Source organism: Homo sapiens, chromosome 15 (genome assembly GCF_000001405.40).
Source record: "Homo sapiens chromosome 15, GRCh38.p14 Primary Assembly".
In the NCBI taxonomy this organism is placed as follows: Eukaryota; Metazoa; Chordata; class Mammalia; order Primates; family Hominidae; genus Homo; species Homo sapiens.
The window spans coordinates 72,283,259-72,305,735 of record NC_000015.10 but is presented as its reverse complement, the minus strand read 5'-3'; the positions used below and the strand labels follow the sequence as shown (position 1 = coordinate 72,305,735).

The 22,477-nt window shown below is 47.1% G+C and overlaps 1 protein-coding gene across 3 annotated transcripts in view; it reads left to right on the top strand.

Moving 5' to 3' along the window:
* The window catches only part of CELF6 (CUGBP Elav-like family member 6), a 35,431-nt gene extending 14,422 nt beyond the window's left edge, over window positions 1-21,009 (top strand). The window contains exons 3-13 of one of the 3 annotated variants that reach the window (NM_052840.5): window positions 942-990; window positions 15,481-15,609; window positions 15,718-15,797; window positions 15,966-16,109; window positions 16,229-16,361; window positions 16,449-16,598; window positions 16,806-16,868; window positions 17,118-17,198; window positions 17,285-17,428; window positions 18,344-18,499; window positions 19,394-21,009. In NM_052840.5, the coding sequence (NP_443072.3) occupies window positions 942-990; window positions 15,481-15,609; window positions 15,718-15,797; window positions 15,966-16,109; window positions 16,229-16,361; window positions 16,449-16,598; window positions 16,806-16,868; window positions 17,118-17,198; window positions 17,285-17,428; window positions 18,344-18,471 (1,101 nt within the window). In that variant the 3' untranslated portion in view covers window positions 18,472-18,499; window positions 19,394-21,009. The remainder of the gene's footprint in view (window positions 1-941; window positions 991-15,480; window positions 15,610-15,717; window positions 15,798-15,965; window positions 16,110-16,228; window positions 16,362-16,448; window positions 16,599-16,805; window positions 16,869-17,117; window positions 17,199-17,284; window positions 17,429-18,343; window positions 18,500-19,393) is intronic. The other 2 variants (NM_001172684.2, NM_001172685.2) reach the window with 2 other exon arrangements.
* Window positions 21,010-22,477: the final 1,468 nt, after the last annotated feature.

The window sequence follows — 22,477 nt, the reverse complement described above, 5'->3', positions numbered from 1 at the left end:
CACAGAGCTCTAAGTCATCCCTGTGTGGAGAGGAGCTGAGGCTGAGTGTGGATGAGACTATCCAAGAAAAGTAGGAAGAGCCAGACAAAAAGGGCTGAGAACGGCACCTTGGAAAACTCCAGCATCCTCAGGGAAGGGGACCCTAGGGAGGGGATGGAGCAGGTGAGCGTGGAGACTCTAGTGATACAGCAGCTTGGGAAATGTTTTCCTCATTTGAAAAATTGAATCTGGCCGGGCGCAGTGGCTCACGCCTGTAATCCCAGCACTTTGGGAGGCTGAGGCGGGTGAATCATTTGAGGTCAGGAGTTCAAGAATAACTTAGCCAACATGGAGAAACCCTGTCTCTACTAAAAATACAAAAATCAGCCGGGCCTGGTGGCACGTGCCTGTAATTTCAGCTACACAGGAGAAAAAGAAAAATTGAATCTGAGAAAAGGTGGCTTACTTAAAGTCATACAACCATTAAATGACTAGAGTTGAGGGCAGATAGCACTGAGTCTGATTCCCAGACTCTCATCTAAATGACACATAGCGTGATATTCTCCATTTTAGACATAAAACACAAATCTGCAGTATCAATTCTACCCTCCTTCCCAATCCTCTCATGCAAAGCCTTTAAGTAAGTCCAGAAGCCAAAGGGACAGGCCTCACATAGCCCCTGCCCAGAGCCCCAGGCAGAAAAGTCTCTTTAGCCGCTTCATTCCACCTTGTGCTTGCCACTAAGTTCCTGTCACCCATCCCTGCCAGTTTCAGCACCTTCTAAATTCCTGGGTTTAAGGAAGGAATCTTGGAGAAAATCTGTAATCCCAGTTTGGAAGTGGTAGAGTGCAGAGTTCAAAGGGGCTAGGGCTCAGATCCTGAGGAGTCCAGGGTTCGAGAAGCTGGGGGCTCCAGGACCAGGCAGTCACGCTGAATGGGTGTGTTGGTCCGATGTCTTTCAGATGAATCGTCCGATCCAAGTGAAGCCAGCTGCCAGTGAGGGCCGAGGAGGTAACTTCCCTGTCTGACCAACCTCAGGCTGCAACCCGTGTAAGGGAGGGTGGGCCCACACCTGGAGTCTGTCCTACCCATTTAGTATGAGAGCCTCCCTGGGTCAAGGGGACAGGTGGGGCTCAGAGTTGCTGAGCCCCAGAAATAGCTCAGCCTTCCCTGCTCAGACTGAGCAGGGCTGGGGTTCTGGGGAGCCCAGGCCCAGAAGAGGCAAGAAGGGCCTAAACAGATGCCAGTGATAGAGAAAGGGGGTTCTTGCCACTTACCCTTGGAGAGAGATCATTCCTGTTTTGCCACATGGAACTTTCAGGGTTTCGTTGTTGTTGTTGTTTTTAAGAATCAGGTGGGGGTTATTCTCCTTCTCCATATCCTTCTGATATCAGAAAACACAGTCCGTTTCGGATTGAGGCCATTCCTTCATTGTAATTGCCTAGCTGCTCATGGTAAAAGATAAGGCTGGTACGACAGACTTTATGGGCCATAGTAAGTCCTCTATGCTGAGGACCATGGAAAGCTCTGATAGCTACACTGTTTCCTGGTAGAGAAAAAACAGAGCTCCTTAAGAACAGGAGGTGGGCTGAGCACGGTGGCTCATACCTATAATCCCAGCACTTTGGGAGGCTGAGGTGGGTGGATCATTTGAGGCCAAGAGTTCGAGACCAGCCTGGGCAACATGGTGAAACCTCGTCTCTACTACAAATAGATAAATTAGCCGGGTGTGGTAGTGGATGCCTGTAATCCCAGCTACTCGGAGGCTGAGGCAGGGAGGCTGAGGCAGGAGAATCGCTTAAACCTGGGAGGCGGAGGTTGTAGTGAGCCGAGATCACGCCATTGCACTCCAGCCTGGGCAACAGAGCATGACTCTGTATCAAAACAAAAACAAAAACAAAAACAAAACCACATAGGACGGTTAGAGAGCCTGTGCTTTCTTCTAACCAGCTGGGTTCTGGCCAGCTTCCAAGCTGTAAAGGCAAGGCTGGATTCTGGTGTCAGTTCTTGGTGTTTTTCTCACCCTTGCATCTTAGATCCTTCCAGTGTATCAGCCTATAGCCCTCCCTGATGTCTGCTGACTCTTTATCTTGGGTAAGACTCTCTTCCTGTCTAACCCAAGATCAGCCATGGCTTTGCTAGCTGAAAGAAGCTGCCCGAGTTCAGGAACAGAATGGAACCCAATTGATATAAACATGTATTGAGTCCTACTAATTCTGTACCCCTCTCAGACTTCATGCTCAGTCTGAGAACCCACACACAGAGTTCTGGTGACTTTGTGGTTCCACTGTGAAGTTCGTTCCTCCAAGAAATACTTCCATTATCCTTTTAGATTCTCTGACCTCTGGTCTCTGATTCTTGATTTCTGGTCAAAATGTTATCACCTTCACCTTGTCTTGGAGAGATATTTCCAAGTTTCCTCCTCCATCCACACACACATTCTCCTTTCCCTTTTTATTCTTTCCAGTCAGGTTTTTGAGATGTTCCAGGCTGCATGCAAAACTTCATGTTCATGTAACCCAAGAATTTCTGCCTCTTGGGAAACTCTTTTATGCATCAAGGCCATTGTTGGCCAACTACTAAGCCCTGCCCACAACCATGAGCCAGTCCCACAGCTGAGAAGCCAACTAAGAGTATGTGAGTGAGCTGTGAAGCAGACAGGTTCAACCACACAACCAACATCTTCTGAGCAACTTACTCCACAGCAGGAATACAGATGTGAGCAAAGCAGACCTGGTACCTGGCCTCATGAAGCACGGATGCTATGAGAGGATATGGACAAGTAAACAAGGGAACACAATTCAGTGTGATCACTGCTTTCAAGGGGAAGTCCAGGGGAATTGTGGGGACACAAACAAGGGGCACCTAACCCAGTCTGGAAGATCAAAGTGGGTTCCCAGAGGAGTAATATTTAAGCTGAGACCTCAAGGATGAATAGGAAGTAGTCAGAGAAAAGAGGAGAGAGGGAGCAAGCATGTTGGGCAGAGGAAGAGCATGTCCGCAGGCCCCAGAGCTCAGAAGAACGTGGTGCAATTTGGAGTCTTGCTCAGGAACTAAGTCCACAATGCTAGGGCACTCCTGCTGTATGGAGTCCACTACATCTTGTCAGTGTTTGGGCAGCCGCACAAAGGGGGCCTCCATGCTGATAGTGCTTTTGCTTGGCCTGGTTGATGTGTTCTGGTGGTCTGGGCTCTAAGCAATGACATCAGCTTGAGTTGTAGAATTTTCTTTCCACATTTTTGTATAAACTTTGCAGGTGTCACATCATTAAAAAATTCTGTACATATGGCATTTCCACCTATACACCTGTTTAAAAGAGCAGGAAAAGCAAATCTAGCTGAAAAAGAGTATTGCCTGGCAGCAGAACTCATAATTTAGCAGTTGTGTTACACAGATATTTCTGGACAAGTGGTGGCTCTCAAGAAGCATACACTCCAAATGCATCCATGAATAATCCTTCTTGCAGGTTTGGATGACCAGATCTCTCAATTCCTCCCTGCTCCCTACTATATATTCAGGAGAGAAAAGGCCTATGTATCCAGTCTTGCAGAACAGTTGGGCCTTTACAATTTATAAGTATTTTAATACTAACAGATCTGTGTTAGATAATCATTACTAATCAAAATGTATTTTCTTCAGTGCTATCATATATCTCTTCTAAAGTGAGTTCAACCCTCTGCTGAATTTTAACACAACCTAATGCTTTAGAAAGTCAACTTTTTGGCTGGGAGCAGTGGCTCACGCCTGTAATCCCAGCACTTTGGGAGGCCGAGGCGGGCGGATCACGAGGTCAGGAGATCAAGACCATCTTGGTTAACACGGTGAAACCCCATCTCTACTAAAAATACAATAATTAGCCAGGTGTGGTGGCGGGCGCATGTAGTCCCATCTACTCAGGAGGCTGAGACGGGAGAACGGCGTGAACCCAGCAGGCGGAGCTTGCAGTGAGCCAAGATCGCACCACTGCACTCCAGCCTGGGTGACAGAGTGAGACTCTGTCTCAAAAAAAAAAAAAAAAAAAATCAACTTTTTAAAATGGTATTGGATTTTGCTTTTAAAATGTAACATTTGGCAACAACGTGGAACAGCGTGTCCCATTTAAGTCTTATATCTGTGACCTCAAACATTCTATAAACTGTCAGAGTCAATGGTCACACACACCTGACCAGATATATTTACGCCAGTAAGCCTGTGTCTTCTAAAATTATTCCTGAAATTAAATCCCTTAGTTTACCATTGGTTAATAATGGTTTCTTTATCCGATAAGAGTACTGATGTCAATGAAAACAATCTAAGGGATATCAAGGCCAACATATTCTTCCAAAACCTTCCAGTTTCTTCTGGAAGGGATTATGCATGATTTTTCTTCCCATCAAGTAGGGATCATCAGCTCAAATACTACAGGAGCCCAGGTAGGTAACCTTAAATGGATGAGACTCCCATGTTTTAATAAAATAATTTACAGCTGGGCATGTGGGCTGGTGCCTGTAATCCCAGCACTTTAGGAGGCCAAGGCGGGAGGATGACTTGAGCTCACAAGTTTGAGACCAGCCTGGGCAACATGGTGAAGCCCTGTCTCTGCAAAAAATATGCAAAAATTAGCTGGGTGTGGTGGCATACATCTTTAGTCCCAGCTACCCAGCTACTCGGGAGGCTGAGGCAGGAGGATCACTTGAGCCCAGGAGTTCGAGGCTGCAGTGAGCTAAGATGGCGCTACTGCACTCCAGCCTAGGTGAATGAATGAGACCCTGTCTTAAAAAAAAAAAATCATTTTAGCTGTATTAAATGTTGGCAACTAATTCAATTTTTAAAAATAGACCAGCACTGTGAGAGCCTACCAAACCTATCATAATTGCTTCTTTTTCCATCTGCCATAAAGCAGGATTACATTGTGCACACATGAGTTTTTTTTTTTTTCTTTTTGAGATGGAGTTTCACTCTGTCGCCCAGGCTGGAGTACAGTGGCGCCATCTCCACTCAACGCAACCTCTGCCTCCTGGGTTCAAGCAATTCTCCTGCCTCAGCCTCCTGAGTAGCTGTGATAACAGGTGCCCACTAGCACGCCCAGCTAATTTTTGTATTTTTAGTAGAGACGAGGTTTCGCCATGTTGGCCAGGCTGGTCTTGAACTGCTGACCACAAATGATCTGTCTGCCTCGGCCTCCCAAAGTGCTGGGATTACAGGTGTGAGCCACCACGCCCAACCTAGCTTTTTTACAAAAATAGCTACTTTGTCTTCTGTCACTTGACTTTTGATGTAACAGTGTACTAGTAGTCTTACTTTTAATCAATAAACATGAGGTTTGTGGTTGAAATAACCAACATACATATTGTATATTTTATGATTTTTATTTATTTACTGATTTGTCTGTTTATTTACTTTTTTTTTTTTTTTTAGAGACAGTGTTTCACTCTGTTGCCCAGGCTAGAATGCAGTGGCACCATCATAGCTCACTGCAGCCTTGAACTCCTGGGCTCAAGTGATCCCCCTGCCTCAGCCCCCTGAGTAGCTAGGACTACAGGTGCATGCCACTATGCCCAGCTAATTTTTGTATTTTTATTTTTTGTAGGGACAGAGTCTCACTTTGTTGCCCTGGCTGGTCTCAAACTCTTGGCTTCAAATGATCCTCCCACGTTGCCTTCCCAAAACGTTGGGATTACAGGCAAGAACCACCGTGCCCGGCCCCTGTTGTATTACTTTTAATAGTTATTGGTAACACTTGTTAATTCGATGCCTGCAATACAATTAATATTAGCAATACACCAGGATCTGCCTGATGGAAGATGTCAAGGTCCTTTTCTGTCATGGCCATCTCCCGCAGCCTTGGCAACACTTTTCTCAGAGTACCAGAGGTGCATCTGGGTCTTTGTGGATATATTATAGCAGCCTTTTAATGTATTCCAGTGAGTTTGCATAAATTCTGTAGCTAAGTTCCACGCTGTTCCTATACTCCACACTCCAGGCCTATATTTTACATCCTGTGGCAGCTACACATTGAGCAGTACACTATTAAAGGAAAATGCATCTAACTTTCTAAAATGAAACTATCTCCTAACATACATTAAATACACATAGTGTCAAAAACCTTTTCCTCAGGACTGGGCGTGGTGGCTCACGCCTGTAATCCTAGCATTTTGGGAGGCCGAGGCGGGTGGATTGGCTGAGCTCAGGAGTTCAAGACCAGCCTGGGCAACACAGTGAAACCCTGTCTCTACTAAAATACAAAAAAATTAGCCGGGCTTGGTGGTGTGTGCCTGTAATCCCAGCTACTTGGGAGGCTAAGGCAGGAGAATCACTTGAACCCAGGAGGCGGAGGTTGCAGTGAGCCGAGATCATGCCACTGCACTCCAGCCTGAACAACAGAGCGAGATTCCATTTCAAAAAAAAAAAAAAAGAAAAAACAAAAAACCTTTTCCCTCAGCATTTGTGTGCATTTGAACATGAACATTAAAATGTTTGTATGGGTAAAAATTCAAGGTTCATGTATTTTTGTTGTTGTTGTGTTGTTTTGTTTTGTTTTTGAAATGGAGTCTCGCTCTGTTGCCCAGGCTGGAGTGCGGTGGCATGATCTCGGCTCACTGCAAGGTACAACTCGGCTCACTGCAAGGTACAACTCCACTTCCTGGGTTCAAGAGATTCTCCTGCCTCACCCTCCCGAGTAGCTGGAACTAGAGGCGCCTGCTACCGCACCCTGCCAATTTTTGCATTTTTAGTAGAAATGGGGTTTCACCATGTTGCCCAGGCTGGTCTTGAACTCCTGACCTCAAGTGATTTACCGGCCTCAGCCTCCCAAAGTACTGGGATTACAGGCATGATCCACTGTGCCTGGCCTAGGTTCACGTATTTTTAAAATGTTAACCACAAATTATATGAGGTCAGAAATAAGGATCCCCAAATCCCTCAGACAATGGTAACTAAATAAGTCTGTTTTATTTGCTGTTCGGCATAGGGACTGTAGTTGATTTTTCCTCACTTATATTTTCTCTACTTTGGAAACACCAATAAGTTAAACTATAAGTACCGATCTTATAGGAAAAGTAGTTTTTAGTCCTAAAGCAAAATATTAAAAATTATTGAATTGTATATTCTTTCCTCTTTCAAATTTCATAGCATAGAATCAATACATAAATCACAATGGTGATTGCTCTGCTTGTTCCACTTCTCAACTTGGCTGTGTCCTTTACTCAGCAAATATTCATGTATCCAAGATGCCTAAGGTACAGAAATAGGTTAGGTAATCAATCCATGCACTCTTTCCACTTCAGTTATTTTCTTTTAACGTTCAAACTTAAAACATTCTCTGAGGATTTTAAAATATATTTTGAGGCATCTCGTTTTTCAGTCTTGCAATTTGGTTCAACTCAAAAGCCAATTATCTGTTATCCAATTAACCCTCCTATCACTATCCTATAATTGCGTAAGTAATTTCTGCCTGAATTTGCAAGGGTTTGATTAGATGTCAGCCTGGATTTTGAGTATAAACATAATGCATATATGACTATCTCACTAGCAGAGCCATCTTTTCCAAGTTCTTTCTAGGATTCCACTTTATTCAGTGTTTAACAACTAATCTTTGAGTTAAAATTGAATTTTGAGGTAGAATTTTCAGAATTTCATAGTACTGGGACATATTCCGTGGCCTAAATCAGAAATAGACCTTAGCAACAACTGTTCTGTCACAGTCAGTTGACAGTCATACCTGTTATTGGTCCTTAGATGAATTTAATTCTAAAAAGTATTTTCCAACTAAGATTGGATAGATTTCACCTGTACTACTTGACCCTTTCCTCACATTAACTCTTCACTTCCTGAAATGCATTCTACCCACAAAGGTAATGAGAGGTGCTTTCCTTAGGCTTGGCTCAGAGCAGATCACCCAAAGCTGATTGTCATAACACTTTTAGGGGTACAGTTACTAGAGCTAAGTACATTCACATTGTATAACCAATCCTCAGAACTTTTTCTTCTTGCAGAAACAGTAACTCTGTATCCATTAAATGATTCTCCATTTCCCAATTTCCGTCAGCATGGCAACCATCATTCTATTTATTTCTGTGAGTTTGACTACTCTAGATACCTTATGTAAGTGGAATCATACAGTATTTGTCCTTTTGTGACTGGCTTATTTCACTTAGCCTATCTTCAAGTTTCATTCACGTTGTAGGATGTGTCAGAATTTCCTTCCTTTTTAAGACAGAATAATAGTTCTTTGTTTGTATATACCACATTTTGTTTATCCGTTCATCTGTTGGATATTTGGGTACCTTCAACCTTTTGGCTATTGTAACTAATGTTGTTATGAATATGGGTGTACAAAAGATTTCTTCAAGATCTTGTTTTCCCAGGCACAGAAAGACAAACATTGCATTATCTCACTTACGTGTGGAACCTAAAAAAGTGGAGCTCATAGAAGCAGAGAGTAGGATGGTGGTTGGCAGAAGTTAGGGGCGGCAGGGGGGTTACAGTATGGAGAAAGGGGAGATGTTAGTCAAAGGATACAAAGTTGTAGTTAAACAGAAGGATGAAGTTTTAGTGATCTATTGCATAGCATGGAGACTGTAGTTAATAATAATGCAATATGCACTTCAAAATTGCTAATAGAGTTCAATCATCTTCACCATAAAAAAGTGATAAGTAGGCAAGGTGAAGAATATGTTAATTAGCTCCATTTAATCATTTCACAATGTCTACATATATCAAAGCATCACATTGTACCCCATAAATATATAAAATTATTATTGGTCAATTGAAATAAAATTATAGATTAATTTTTGAAAAGACCCTGCTTTCAATGTTTTTGGATATATTCCCAGAAAAGGTATTGCTAGATCATATGGTAATTCTATTTTTAATTTTTTGAAGAACTGCCATACTGCTTTCTGTAGCAGCGACACTATTTTACATTCCTATCAACAGTGTGCAAGAGTTCCAATTTCTCCACATCCTCGCCAACGCTGTGATTTTCTGTTTCTTTGATAGCAGTCATCCTAATCGGTGTGAGGTGGGTGATATCTCATTGTAGTTTTGATTTGCATTTCCTTAACAATTAGTCATTTTGAGCATCTTTTCTTATGCTTGTTGCCCATTTGTATTTCTTCTTTGCAGAAACATCTATACAAATCCTTTGCCCATTATTAAATAGAAGGTTTGGTGTTTTCTGTTGTTGGTATTGTTGTTGTTACCATTTAGTTGTACGAGTTCTTTATATATTCTGGATGTTAACCTCTTATCTTGATATATTGTTTGCAAATGTGTTCTCCCATTCCAGAGGTTGCTTTTTCATTCTGTGAGTTGTGTCTTTTGATGGACAGAAGTTTTCTAGTTTTTTATTTTTGCCCTCCAATAGATCCTTGTTAAAGTTTTTAATTTTGATGTAGTCAGTCCAATTTATTTATTTTTACTTTTGTTGCCTGTGCTTTTGGTGTCATATCCAAGAAATCATTGCCAAATCCTGTCAGGAAATCTTTTTCCCCTCAGTTTTCTAAGACATCTATTGTTTTAGCTCTTACATTTAGGACTCATCCATTTTCAGTTAATCTTGTGTATATGGTGAAAGGTAAGAGTCTAACTTCATTCTTTTGTAGATATCCATTTTTCCCAACCCCATTTGTTGAAAAGACTGTCCTTTCCTTATTGAATGACCTTGCCTCCCTTGTTGAAAATCATTTGACCATATGTAAGAGAGTTTATTTCTGGGATTTCTGTTCTATTCCATTGGTCTATATATTTATCTTTATGCCAGTACCATAGTGCCGATTACTATAGCTGTGTAATATGTTTTGAAAACAGGGAGTTCTTCTTCTTCTTCAAGATTGCTGGGTATTTGGAGTCCCTTGAGATTCCATATGAATTTTAGGATGGATTTTTCTATTTCTGCAAAAAATGCCATTGGGAGTTTATAGAGATTACATTAAATCTGTAGATCACTTGGAGTAGTATTGACATCTTAGCAATATTAAGTCTTCGAATCCATGAACACAGATTGTCTTTTCATTTATTTGTGTCTTCTTAATTTTTTTTTTTTTTTTTTTGAGACAGAGTCTTGCACTATCACCCAGGCTGGAGTGCAGTGGCGTGATCTCGGCTCACTGCAACCTCTGCATCCTGGGTTCAAGCAATTCTGCCTCAGCCTCCTGAGTAGCTGGGATTACAGGCACCCACCACCACGCCCAGCTAATTTCTTTGTATTTTTAGTAGAGATGGGGTTTCACTATGTTGGCCAGGCTGGTCTCAAACTCCTGACCTCATGATCTGCCCGCCTCGGCCTCCCAAAGTGCTGGGATTACAAGCGTGAGCCACCACGCCTGGCCTCTTAATTTCTTTTAGCAACATTTTGTAGTTTTCAGTGTATGAGTCTTTCACCTCCTGGGTTAAGTTTATTCCCAAGTATTTTATTTTATCTTATTATTTATTTATGTATTTTGAAACAGTCTTACTCTGTCACCCAGGCTGGAGTGCAGTGGCTCAATCTCGGCTCACTGCAAACCTCCACCTCCCAGGTTCAAGCGATTCTCCTGCCTCAGCCCCCCAAGTAGCTGGGATTACAGGTGCTTGCCACCTACACACGGCTAATTTTTGTATTTTTAGTGGAGACAGGATTTTGCCCTGTTGGCCAAGCTGGTCTCAAACTCCTGACCTCAGGTGATCCACCCACCTCGGCCTCCCAAAGTGCTGGGTTTACAGGCGTGAGCCACCATGCCCGGCCTCCAAGTGTTTTATTCTTTTCGATGCTATTGCAAATAGAATTGTTTGCTTTCATCTCTTTTTTTTTTTTTTTTTGAGACACAGTCTCACTCTGTCTCCCAGGCAGGAGTGCAGCGGCACAATCTCAGCTCACTGCAACCTCCACCTCCCAGGTTCAAGAGATTCTCCTGCCTCAGCCTTGCGAGTAGCTGGGACTACAGACACATGCCACCATGCCTGGCTAATTTTTGCATTTTTAGTAGAGACAGGGTTTCACTATGTTGGCCAGCCTGGTCTTGAACTCCTGACCTCATGTGATCCACCCACGTTGGCCTCCCAAAGTGCTGGGATTATAGGCGTGAGCCACCGTGCTGGCTTTTGCTTTCACTTCATTTCATTTTCAGATTGTTCATTGCTAGTGTGTAGAAACACAACTGATTTTTTGTGTGTCAATTTTATTTCTTGCAACTTTGCTGAATTGGGTTATTTGTTCTAACAGTTTTTTTGTGTGTGGAATTTAAGTCCCTCCTGATGCCTGTCACATCTGGCCAGGAGACTCTTCTCGTCCTGGCTACTTCCTTCTGTCACTTTCCCCGTGGCTTCTTATGCTGCAGTCGTCACTAAGAGTATCAGGAGAGAGTTGCTTTGCTGTAATACAATTACTGCCACCAGCAAGACTTTCTGGGTTGGCATTTACATTGAAAAATGGACCAGTATTTTTAGGATGTGTCTGGTAGTTGGTACCCGAAGGCTGGACCTTTCCTTACACTGTCCCTACAATCATTACATTTCACCAACATGGAGGTGATTTGGTGTGAGTGGCCTAGAAAACAAGAAACTTGAACAACTTAGGAATTTCTTTGGAGCAACATGAGGCAGACGCTCCTTCCTTGAACAGCATCCTGGTGCCCTTTCTGAAGAAGTAGTCTGGATTGATTCTGCTATGATTACTGGGATGTCAACCCCATCATTTGCTGCATTCGAATCCCTGACCTATATGACCAGCTGCACAAGGCAGCTTCATGGAGATGGGCCTCTGGGAGCCTAAGCCACTTGTTTTGGACTCAAAAAGCATTTGAGACTGGGTGTGGTGGCTCACACATGAAATCCCAAGCACTGTGGGAGGCCTGGGCGGGCGGATCACCTGAGGTCAGGAGTTTGAGACCAGCATGGCCAACACGGTGAAACCCTGTCTCTACTAAAAAATACAAAAATTAGCTGGGCATGGTGGCGTGCACCTATAATCCAGCTACTCAGGAGGCTGAGGCAGGAGAATCACTTGAACCTGGGAGGAGGAGATTGCAGTGAGCCGAGATCGTGCCATTGCTCTCCAGCTTGGGTGACAGAGCAAGACTCAGTGTCAAAAAAAAAAAAAAAAGCATTTGATAGAAGATTAAGAAGTATACATCGGTTGCCAACAGGAAAATGCAGTTATACCATTCAACCATATGGCATTCCAACTATGTCTCAACTCTGCGCTGATGCTGCCTTCTAATACTTTCCACTCCAGGAAGGTTGAGCGTCCATGTTTGATATTCCCATCTTTCTAGGATACTACCCACCACTCATGGGATACTTTTATTCAGACATTTCTGACTTGCCTCTTGTAGCGTCCGCTTTTTATCCAAATGATAGAATTTGATCTAGAGGAAACTGAATTATCTGGGCTACATCCCATCATCATCTCTCTTTGGAGGCAATCAATGATCAGCCATCAGAATGTTCAGATCTGTGGGTTTGCGGGGCTACTGTTAGGGGTCCAGCATGTACTTCTCTTTGGCCGGGTCTCTTAAGAAACTTATCCCACCATTTCTGGGTCACCTGAGGCTCATGACCACTGTGATCCAGCTTATCCTCCTGTCAAACACAATCAAGGTCCCTGTAAAGTGGCAAAGAGGATACCAGGATTTAAGGTGATACCTGGGAAACAGGAGCCTAGAGCCCACCCCATGGTAGATACTCATTTCCATTCCAAACTCTGTACATCCCAGTAGTCCAGATCCATAGGGTCAGTGCCCTGACAGGGAAATGGAAAAAAAAATTTTTTTAGTTGGAGTCTCACTCTGTCGCCCAGGCTGGAGTGCAGTGGTACAATCTCGGCTCACTGTAACCTCCGCCTCCTAGGTCCAAGCCATTTTCCCACCTCAGTCTCCTGAATAGCTGGGATTATAGGCATGTGCCACCACGCCTGGCTATTTTTATATTTTTAGTAGAGATGGGGTTTTACCATGTTGGCCAGGCTGGTCTCAAACCCCCGACCTCAAGTGATCAGCCCACCTTGGCCTCCCAAAGCACTGGGATTATAGGCGTGAGCCACTGCGCCCTGCTGAAAATTCTTAACTTGTGAGATTCTCACTGGAAAAGAGGATCGGAAAATTTCACCATCAGCAGAAAAAGCAACAAGAGGCAGAGCAGATGAAGGATCAGATCACCACTGTCAGTACAAACCTCTTTTCTGTCTTATGGGCTCTATCTCAGCCTGTGATGTCTCTCTTCCTACACAAGGCTACCTGGATTCTGGTCCATGTGGTATGATATCTTATTGGGGTGCCATCACCATTTTTCAGACCCTGCCCAATGACACAGCTCCACTACAAATTAGGGCATTGTGAAGCCCCCCTTGGGACTATGGAGGCCCTAGACTCTTCTCCAGCCTCTCCCAGGCCTTCTGCAGCCCAGAATAACTTAGAACAATGGCATGGTCTTTCGGGGTTTGATTCTCTGGCCAAATGAGCCCATTCTCCAATGTCAAGGCAAAGCCATCAGATTGGTTGAGAGACTCATGAAAGACCTTTCCTGTCTTCTCAGGCTCCTGAACAGGATGATCTCAGATCCCCCCTCAAACAACAGCTGGAACTCTGTTCTCTATCTTCTAGGTCAGTAATTTCAAAGGGCTTTCCTTGGAGCCCCTCTAGGGAGTATTAGGGGAGGATCAAGCAAGATGAACTCCACCCCTCCTTTTCTGGCTTCAGTCACAGCAGTTCTATTTTTCTCTTACATTTTGAGCTTCATCCTAATATTTATGTTAGAACAATGTATTCCACTGATTTTTCAAAAGGTTGGGAAACCAGTGATCTGTTCCAAGGGCACTATTCTGTGGCTGACACCCCCAGAAGCAAAGTACACCCACCAGGTTGTACTCTCACCACAGAAGGTCACTGGTGAGACCTTCTTTCCTCCATCAGAATTCCAGCCACAAGTCCATTATCCATCCCCTCTCCAAGGATCATCGGATGGTACCTCTCTGGACAGACGGCAGAATTTTGCTAAAACACATTTTGCCTGCCCCTTATGAACTGCAGCCCCTGCCCTCCACACAGACATAGCATCGTCAGACAGACAGACACTTCAGGATCCCCAAGGCAGCCTAGGCCAAACCCCACACCACCCGGGTGACATATGGACACACACATAGTCTTGTTGGAGATTTCTCCCCTGCTAACTTCGTTCAGTTTTGAACAGTCTGTTCTTCCTTCGCTGTCACCCAGGCTTCAGTCTATGACCCCCCACTAGCCTTGTTTTCCCTGCACTCAGAATCCAAGGACCCCCATCTGCCTAGCCAAGCTGGTCAAGGAGTAGAACCATTTAGGATGGGTTTTCCTGCACTCCAAGGTCTTGAAGATGAAGCCTGAAACCAGTTTCCTACCCACTCCTTCTCTCCCAACTTGTATTGTCCCCTACATGGTCAAGCCCCATCCCAAATTCAGAGATTTACCTTGGTGCAGAGAAGAGCCCCAGACTTTAACAGCAGGCTGGACCCCTCTACCCCACGCTCCCAGAGTGTTCCTGAGGCCTAACTTGCTGGATGTGCGGCAAAACCCTAGTTTCCAGCCCCAGCTCTCCAGCTTTCTTCGAGGGACACAGGCCCAGCTTGCAGCCCCTTTCCTGCATTTCTGCCACTCCCATAGAAAGGGTGGACACAGGGAGGAATCAGACTGGTTCTCTGGTGGCAATCCAGGTCTATAGGCAGAACTTGTTCTCTCATAGCATGAACATTTTGGGAGGCATCAGGGCAAGAGGACAGGGGAATCAGAGGGAAGGATACAGACAGGGCACTAGAAGCTTGCTGAAGGGACAGGGTGGTGGAGGTGGGAGTTAAGGAAAGGGGTCAGGGGTTCAGCAACTGTAGTAGGAAAAATGCTAATGTTGGAGGCTCAGGAAACCAAGGTCCTGCTCTCTGTAGGCCTTTGGGAGGGGCATCCAGGTTGGATGTGGTGCAGAGGGTAAGGATTCATCATGCCAGTGCTCAGTGCCTAAAGATGAGGCAGTAGGATGACAGGACTGTTTTCTGTGCTGTTTCTAAATCCAGAACCCTCCTTGATATTAGCAGGAAGGGGCATTGATTCTAGCCAGCACTATCAGGCTGACCAGCAAGGATGTACTTCTCTTCTCTGGACCCAGTCTGAATAGAAAGGCTTTCTCTGAGCACCCGCTTCCTTAATAGTACAGAAATGGTCCAAAACAGCGTTTCCCAACCTCTAAGAACAGAAAGGTCAAACATGTAAAACAATGCATATAGGGCTCTACCCAGCCAGAGATATCAAGACTGCATTACTCCCCACAAGAGCAGCCCTGAGCCTCTCTGGGTTTCCCCAGGACCCAGGTTTTCCTGATGGAAAGCTGAGCTGAGCTCCCTTCTCCAGATCCCTTCCCCAGATCCTGCCCCTCAATGAAAACCAACCCTGGAAGCCCAGGGCCTTCTCACTCCCTCTGCTTCCCAGAGTGAGACTGGTGAGCTGCCTTCCTAAGTTCCTCAGGCTACTCTCGGGGGTCTAGGAAGACTTGGGGTCCCCAGGTCATTCCTGGCTTTGTCCCCAGAGGACCGAAAGCTGTTTGTGGGGATGCTGGGCAAGCAGCAGGGTGAGGAGGACGTCAGACGCCTGTTCCAGCCCTTTGGCCACATCGAGGAGTGCACGGTCCTGCGGAGTCCTGACGGCACCAGTAAAGGTGACCTGAGCTGACCCCGGGATTTCCTGGTGACCCTTCCTCACTCTGGGCCACATAACTCTTTGGCCCCTGTGGCCTGAGCCACCCGCTCCCTCTGTCCTGCCCCAGGCTGTGCCTTTGTGAAGTTCGGGAGTCAAGGGGAAGCTCAGGCGGCCATCCGGGGTCTGCACGGCAGCCGGACCATGGCGGTGAGGGCGGGTTCCCTGGGCTGAGGGTGAGGCCAGTGGGGTGGGGACGGGCTTCTCCTCCCCGAGTGTGCTCGGTGCCCCGCGAAAGGACCTGATGGGAAAGGCGCTCGGCCCCGGGCCGGGGCCAGGGTCAGGACCGGTCACCACGGCCTCCCCTGCCCTGCCCAGGGCGCCTCGTCCAGCCTCGTGGTCAAGCTGGCGGACACCGACCGGGAGCGCGCGCTGCGGCGGATGCAGCAGATGGCCGGCCACCTGGGCGCCTTCCACCCCGCGCCACTGCCGCTAGGGGCCTGCGGCGCCTACACCACGGCGGTAGGTACCGGGCACCTGCGTGCGAGGGCGCGCAGGTGGGTGGGCCAGGCCTGGGGCTGAGAGCACGGGCAGCTGCCTGCCCCTTGGCCCTCCACTCTCGCCCATCTTTCCTCTCAAAGATCCTGCAGCACCAGGCGGCCCTGCTGGCGGCGGCACAGGGCCCAGGCCTAGGCCCGGTGGCGGCAGTGGCGGCCCAGATGCAACACGTGGCGGCCTTTAGCCTGGTAGCTGCGCCTCTGTTGCCCGCGGCAGGTACGGCCCCCAGGGACTGGGGCGCGCCTGGGAGGGGCCGGGCGGGGCGGGGTGGCGGCCTGACTCTCAGACCTTTTCCGCCATCAGCAGCCAACTCCCCGCCTGGCAGCGGCCCTGGCACCCTCCCAGGTCTTCCGGCGCCCATCGGGGTCAATGGATTCGGCCCTCTGACCCCCCAGACCAATGGCCAGCCGGGCTCCGACACGCTCTACAATAACGGGCTCTCCCCTTATCCAGGTGGGCCCCCCGCTCCGCCCAAATCCCCCCGAAATGGAGTGGGGAGCGGGGGGTGGGGGGTTAGGGCCTGGCTTCCCTGGGAAGAGATCCCCCTCCTTCCCTGCTGTCTCTCACAGCCGCCGTCCACCTCCCACACTCCCTGAGCTTCTCACCCACTCTGCTCGCCCGCTTGCCTTCACTGTGGGCCTCGCGCCCCTCTCTCCCCAGCCCAGAGCCCCGGCGTGGCTGACCCCCTGCAGCAGGCCTACGCTGGGATGCACCACTACGCAGGTTTCACTTGGCGCTACGCGGCCTGGGGGAGGTTGAAGGGCCCTAGAAAGAAATAGGGAGAGTTGTGGGGGATTTAGGCTCTGTTCCAAGGAGTTGATCCTCCCATCCCCTCCTACCCCCAGAACGACCTCTCTTGGGGTGAGGGTTATGGTGGACTGGGCTGAATTGGTCAAAAGCGGCCAGGCAGTTGGGGCCCTGCTTGGGGAAGGGCTCCTGGGGATCACTGTCCACTCCCACCTCTGTCTCCAGCAGCCTATCCGTCGGCCTATGCCCCAGTGAGCACAGCTTTTCCCCAGCAGCCTTCAGCCCTGCCCCAGCAGCAGAGAGAAGGTGAGGGACTGGGGGCTGGACAGCAGAACCTGGTGGGGCTGGACTCAGGGTCCTTCCCCTGAACCAGCTTGCTACTGTTCCTCCAGGCCCCGAAGGCTGTAACCTCTTCATCTATCACCTGCCTCAGGAGTTTGGTGATGCGGAACTCATACAGACATTCCTGCCCTTTGGAGCCGTTGTCTCTGCTAAAGTCTTTGTGGATCGAGCCACCAACCAGAGCAAGTGTTTTGGTGAGCTGAGAACCTACCCCTAGGCCTCTCCCACCTCTGACTATAAAGGATTTCCTACAGACCCTACGATTGCCCTTCCATAATGCAGTGATTTCCTGAGATTGAATGTATGGCACAAAACAGGGTCACAAACCAGTGATGGGCCTAAGTTTAGGCCAACAACAAGCCTTGGCCGGGCATGGTGGCTCACGCCTGTAATCCTAGCACTTTGGGAGGCCAGGGCAGGTGAATCACTTGAGGTCAGGAGTTTGGGACTAGCCTGGCCAACATGGCGAAATCCCGTCTCCACTAAAAATACAAAAATTAGCTGGGCGTGGTGATGGGTGCCTGTAATCCCAGCTACTCAGGAGGCTGAGGCAGGAGAATTTCTTGAATCCGAGAGGGAAAGTTTGCAGTGAATTGTGATGGCACCACTGCACACTCCAGCCTGGGCCCCAGAGCAAGACTCCATCTCAAAAAAAAAAAAAAAGAACGAGCTTTATTTCAGGTTTACCTGGGATGATCATGTGTCCACCAGGAATGTGGCCAGCTAGGTCAGAGCTTTGGAGTCTGGCCAGGGCAGGAGGAGTCTGGTTCTGAGACCAAAGATCCCCTCCAACTCCAACTATGGTTCTGAGGACCAGAATGGGAGCTGTGGAGGGAGAAAGCCAACCCATGCCAGGAAAAACACGGAAACATCCAAATCAACACACTGACCCTGCACACACACTCAGAGTTGCTTCCTATCCTTCCAAGAATCACACCTTTAGGAATCTCAGGCCATCTGCCTATGACTCTGTATCCACACAAACAGTGGAGGGGTATGTGTTTGATGGAACTGGCCTGACGGGGCTGGAAGAGGAGGGGGCTGGTCAGAGAGAAAGGAGGCCCTGCTAGGCAGAGTCCCCAGCTAATCTCTTTGCCCACACCCTCCAGGGTTTGTTAGTTTTGACAATCCAACTAGTGCCCAGACTGCTATTCAGGCGATGAATGGCTTTCAAATTGGCATGAAGAGGCTCAAGGTCCAGCTAAAGCGGCCCAAGGATGCCAACCGGCCTTACTGACCTGCTTTCACTGACCAGCCACAGAAAGGTGAGTCCCTGATGGACCCCAGGTAGATGAGGCCTGAGTGATGAGGCCCTCCCAGCTTTGATGGTCCTCCTTTTGGGACCTTGGAGGCACCCACCTCTGAGAAAGTCTGGGATAGAGAGAAGAGCCAGGAGCTAGGAGGAAACCTCAGATGGAGACTTTGCTTTTCCTTCAATCCAAGGAGATCAATTGGACAACATTCCTGCCCCGCAGTCTAGGAGAGACAATCAGAGTCTTTCTGCCTGGAGAAGCAGTTCTACTCCAGAGACAGCCAATGAGAGTAGAGAACCTGTATGCGGGGAGGGTCCAGGAGACTGGAAAATGAGACTAGAAAAGTAGCTTTGGGCCAGTTTTCAAGGGTCTTCAGGCCATGAGTTTGGACTTTATCCTGAAGATGAGAATGAACTGTTGAGGAGCTTAAGCAGAGAAAGGACTAGAAGTAAGGGCTGAGATAGTGGCAGTGAACATGGAGATGGAGGAAGAGAAGCAAACATGCTTCAGAGGTAGAATCTGCAGGGCCTGGTGGGTGATGGGGAGAAAGATGGGCCAAGTTCTTCTACATTTTTGGCAAGGTCATGGGTCCATAGGATGCTGCCTGCAACTTTTAGAGATTTTCTGTCTCAGAAGGCCCACATGGCCCTGCCTCACTTTGAGCTACCCCAGGAACCTTCTAGAGGGGATGTGGGGTTGGGGTCTTTTGCTCAGGACTCAAGTCTGGCTTCAGTGGACGGGGCTGCTGCCTGGGTCCTGCTGCAGCCCTACTCCTCAGGAAGAGAGGTCCAGCCACTCACCTGAGACGTCACTCATGGGGGCAAGCTGCTCTTCTGGTCTTGCCCTCCAAGGTGATTCTTGCCTTTTCCCCCCTATCTCTCCTTATCAATTAATACACAACAACAGAAACAGAAGAGTGAGAAGAAAGGAGAGGAAAAGCACAGAAACGCTTGAGCAGCCCTTCCCGAAGGAGCAGCTGCGGACGGAGGTGGATCGGACCCAAGGCTGGTGCCTGGGGCTAAGGCCACTCTAAGGATTGTTTTTATCAAGTGGGTTGTTCTGTGCCTGCAGCATAGAGCGCAGGCTGGCAGAGCAAATAGGGCTGGTGAGGAGTGACTGTCCAGGGGAACCAGCAGAGGGCGTTGGGGGTGCCAAGGGCTTCTCCGCAAGGGAAGCCCAGATTTACTTCTTTCAAAATCATATCATTCCTTAGAGTTTAGGGACCAAAGGACTATTGCTTTTTTAAGAATATATATATCTATATAAATTAAAACAAAGAAACAAACAAACAAAAAACAAGACAAACAACTACAAAAAAAGACAGTATAGAGTCTCATAAAAGCTGCCTTTAAATATCCCTAGGAGACAGGGTGAAGGAGACCCTTGACAGCCCCAGCCTAGGCAGATGGGGGCTGTGGAAAGATTGTTCTGTGTCTCATTCCCTCTTAAGCCACTCCCCCACCCTGCCCTTTTAAAAATAATTAAGGATTTGAGGTCTAGGCTCACATGCAGGTAATGAGAACGTTATGGAAGCAGTGAACCCACAATCCACAATCCCCAAACTCAGAGTGCATCCCAGAAGAGGCCCCAGGCAGAGCTCAGGTTGGCCCTGGCCTTTGCCATCCCGGGAGGCCCCCTAGCCAGCAAGAGTGGGATTGCCTTTCCTGTGGAACCACTGCTTCCCCAGGCGGGAAGAAAGAGGGAGTTCTGGCCACCTGAGCCTTTCCCTTGCCAATCCAGGTAGACAGAGGCCCTGCCTTTGGCTGAGCTGAGACACCTCCTGTTTCCCTTCCCCTTGAACCAGTCCCAGTGTCCCCTTGCTCCAGGCTACCTTCTGTCTCTTAGTCTAAGTTTGCCCACCTGTAAAGTAGATTCAGGATATCTGTAGAGGGCTGTGACAACAGACTTGGAAGGTTTGCTACTGTATATACTGCCATTGAGAAGGGGAAATTTTTCAATATGTAGAAGCTTCAGAATTAGAGGTCCCTCTTTACCCCAGACCTGGGAGGGAAGTAGATGTTTTGCCAAAATACTTCTTCATTCCTTTAAAAACTACATCTTTCCTATGCAAGAGTGTCTCACATGTGCTTAACCGAGGTGCTTCTAGTTGGTGAGCAGTGTTGAGCTTAGAAGTGGTGTGTGCTCTGTCTGTCTGTCTTTGTCTGTCTGTTGTATACAGTGGGTGCCATATAAAGCTGATCAATGGTGGTGCTTCCTGCCTGCTTCTGTGAGATGGGCAAAAGATTCAGCTTAGAACACCATGACTCACCTTGCCTTGGTCAGCCTTTCCTGGGCCTGTAGGGCCTTGCACATATTTTTCCCAGGAGGATTTCCCCTCCACCCCACAGGCATGGATCAGCTTGGTCTGAGGCCCCAGCTGTGTGGGGTCCCTCTAATCCCCAGATGTTGCTGAGGCTGAAGGCCTCTGATCTGATAACATGTCAGATAGTAAAAGATGTGGGGGTGGGGGTGGAGGGCTCCTCCTTCATAACAGTTTCTAAGAAAACTTGTTCCCACCTGTTCTTCTGTCTTCGACTCATTTTTGGAGGGAATGGGAATGAAACATAGATCTGGCAGTAATATTACCAGGTAAGGTGTGATGGACATCCACAAATATTTTCCAACCGAGGGAAGAACCAGAGGGTGTATGTGCACCAGCACAATGCTGACACCTAGAGTGACCACCCTAGACACAAATAGAGACACACAGTACCCGCACCCTCAAACTAATATTCACATGGAAGCAGAGAGTCCCCTCAGGCTAGGTGCTAAGCACTGTGCTACGTGTCGGGGCTCAGGTATGTTCAAAGTACTCAGAGTTAAGGGGAAAGAGAGACAAATAATCCAGTTACAATGGAGGGCCATAGAAGGTCTGTGCTAGCAAGAATGAGAGTACCTAGTTCAGACTTTATTGGTGGGGGAGGTCTGTGAAATACTTTCTGAAGGAGATTAAGAAGGGGAAAAGTCTTCAAGGATGAACTGGGACATTTGGACAAAGCCATTTAGACAGCTGCATCATTTTGAAAAATTATCTTTATTACCAAGAAATAATAATAATTACCATTTATTCAGTACCTGTTATATGGCAGATAATGGGCACAAGATAAGACCCTTTTCCCGTTCCTAACTCTACCCTGAACCTTACCATTACCAAGTCATGTCAAGACACTTGAACCAAAATGACATTTAAAATATCTGGCTTCATACTTTAGAGTATGGGCTAAGGACTGGCAGACTGTGTGATTCCAAAGCTTCAGGGTTTGACATGGTCTAGATCAGGGGTTGGCAAACTATGGCTTGTGGGCCAAATCTGGCCTGTGGCCTATTTTTGTATGAACTACCAAACTAATAATTTTTTTTACATTTTTGAAGGGTCGTCAAAACAAAACAAGAAAGTGAAACGGAGACCACATATGGCCCACACAGCCTAAAATATCTATCTATCTTGTCCTTTAGACAAAAAGTTTGCTGACCCCTGGTAAGATCATGGAAGACTTATATAATGTCTGATGAGCTTGAACAATATGGTGTTTGTGTCTCTCTGTGTGCATGTATTAGTCTGGACCTTTTCAGTTGCAAGTGTCAAAAACCCAACTCAAACATGTTTAGGCCAATTGGAAATTAATTGATTTACATAACTGATAAATCAAAGCATGTATCTGCCTTGAAGCATGGCTGGATCTAGGGGTTCAAAGGATGATGTCTCCATCTCTTGGCTCTGCTTCCTTCCATATGTTGGCCTCATTAGTTCTAGTTCTAAAATCCCAGGGAGGACTTTGGCCAGCTTTGGACACATGCCCACCACTAGGATAGAAGAGTAGGCCACCATAATTGACAACTTCATCAGGACTGTGTGGAAGGGGAGAAATGGGTCCCTAAGGAAGAGATGATGGGCAGATAAATGAAATGCACCCACTATATCCCACCCTTTATTGCATCCACCTATACTTTTCTTGACAAACATACAATTTCAAAAATGTGCCTGCCTGA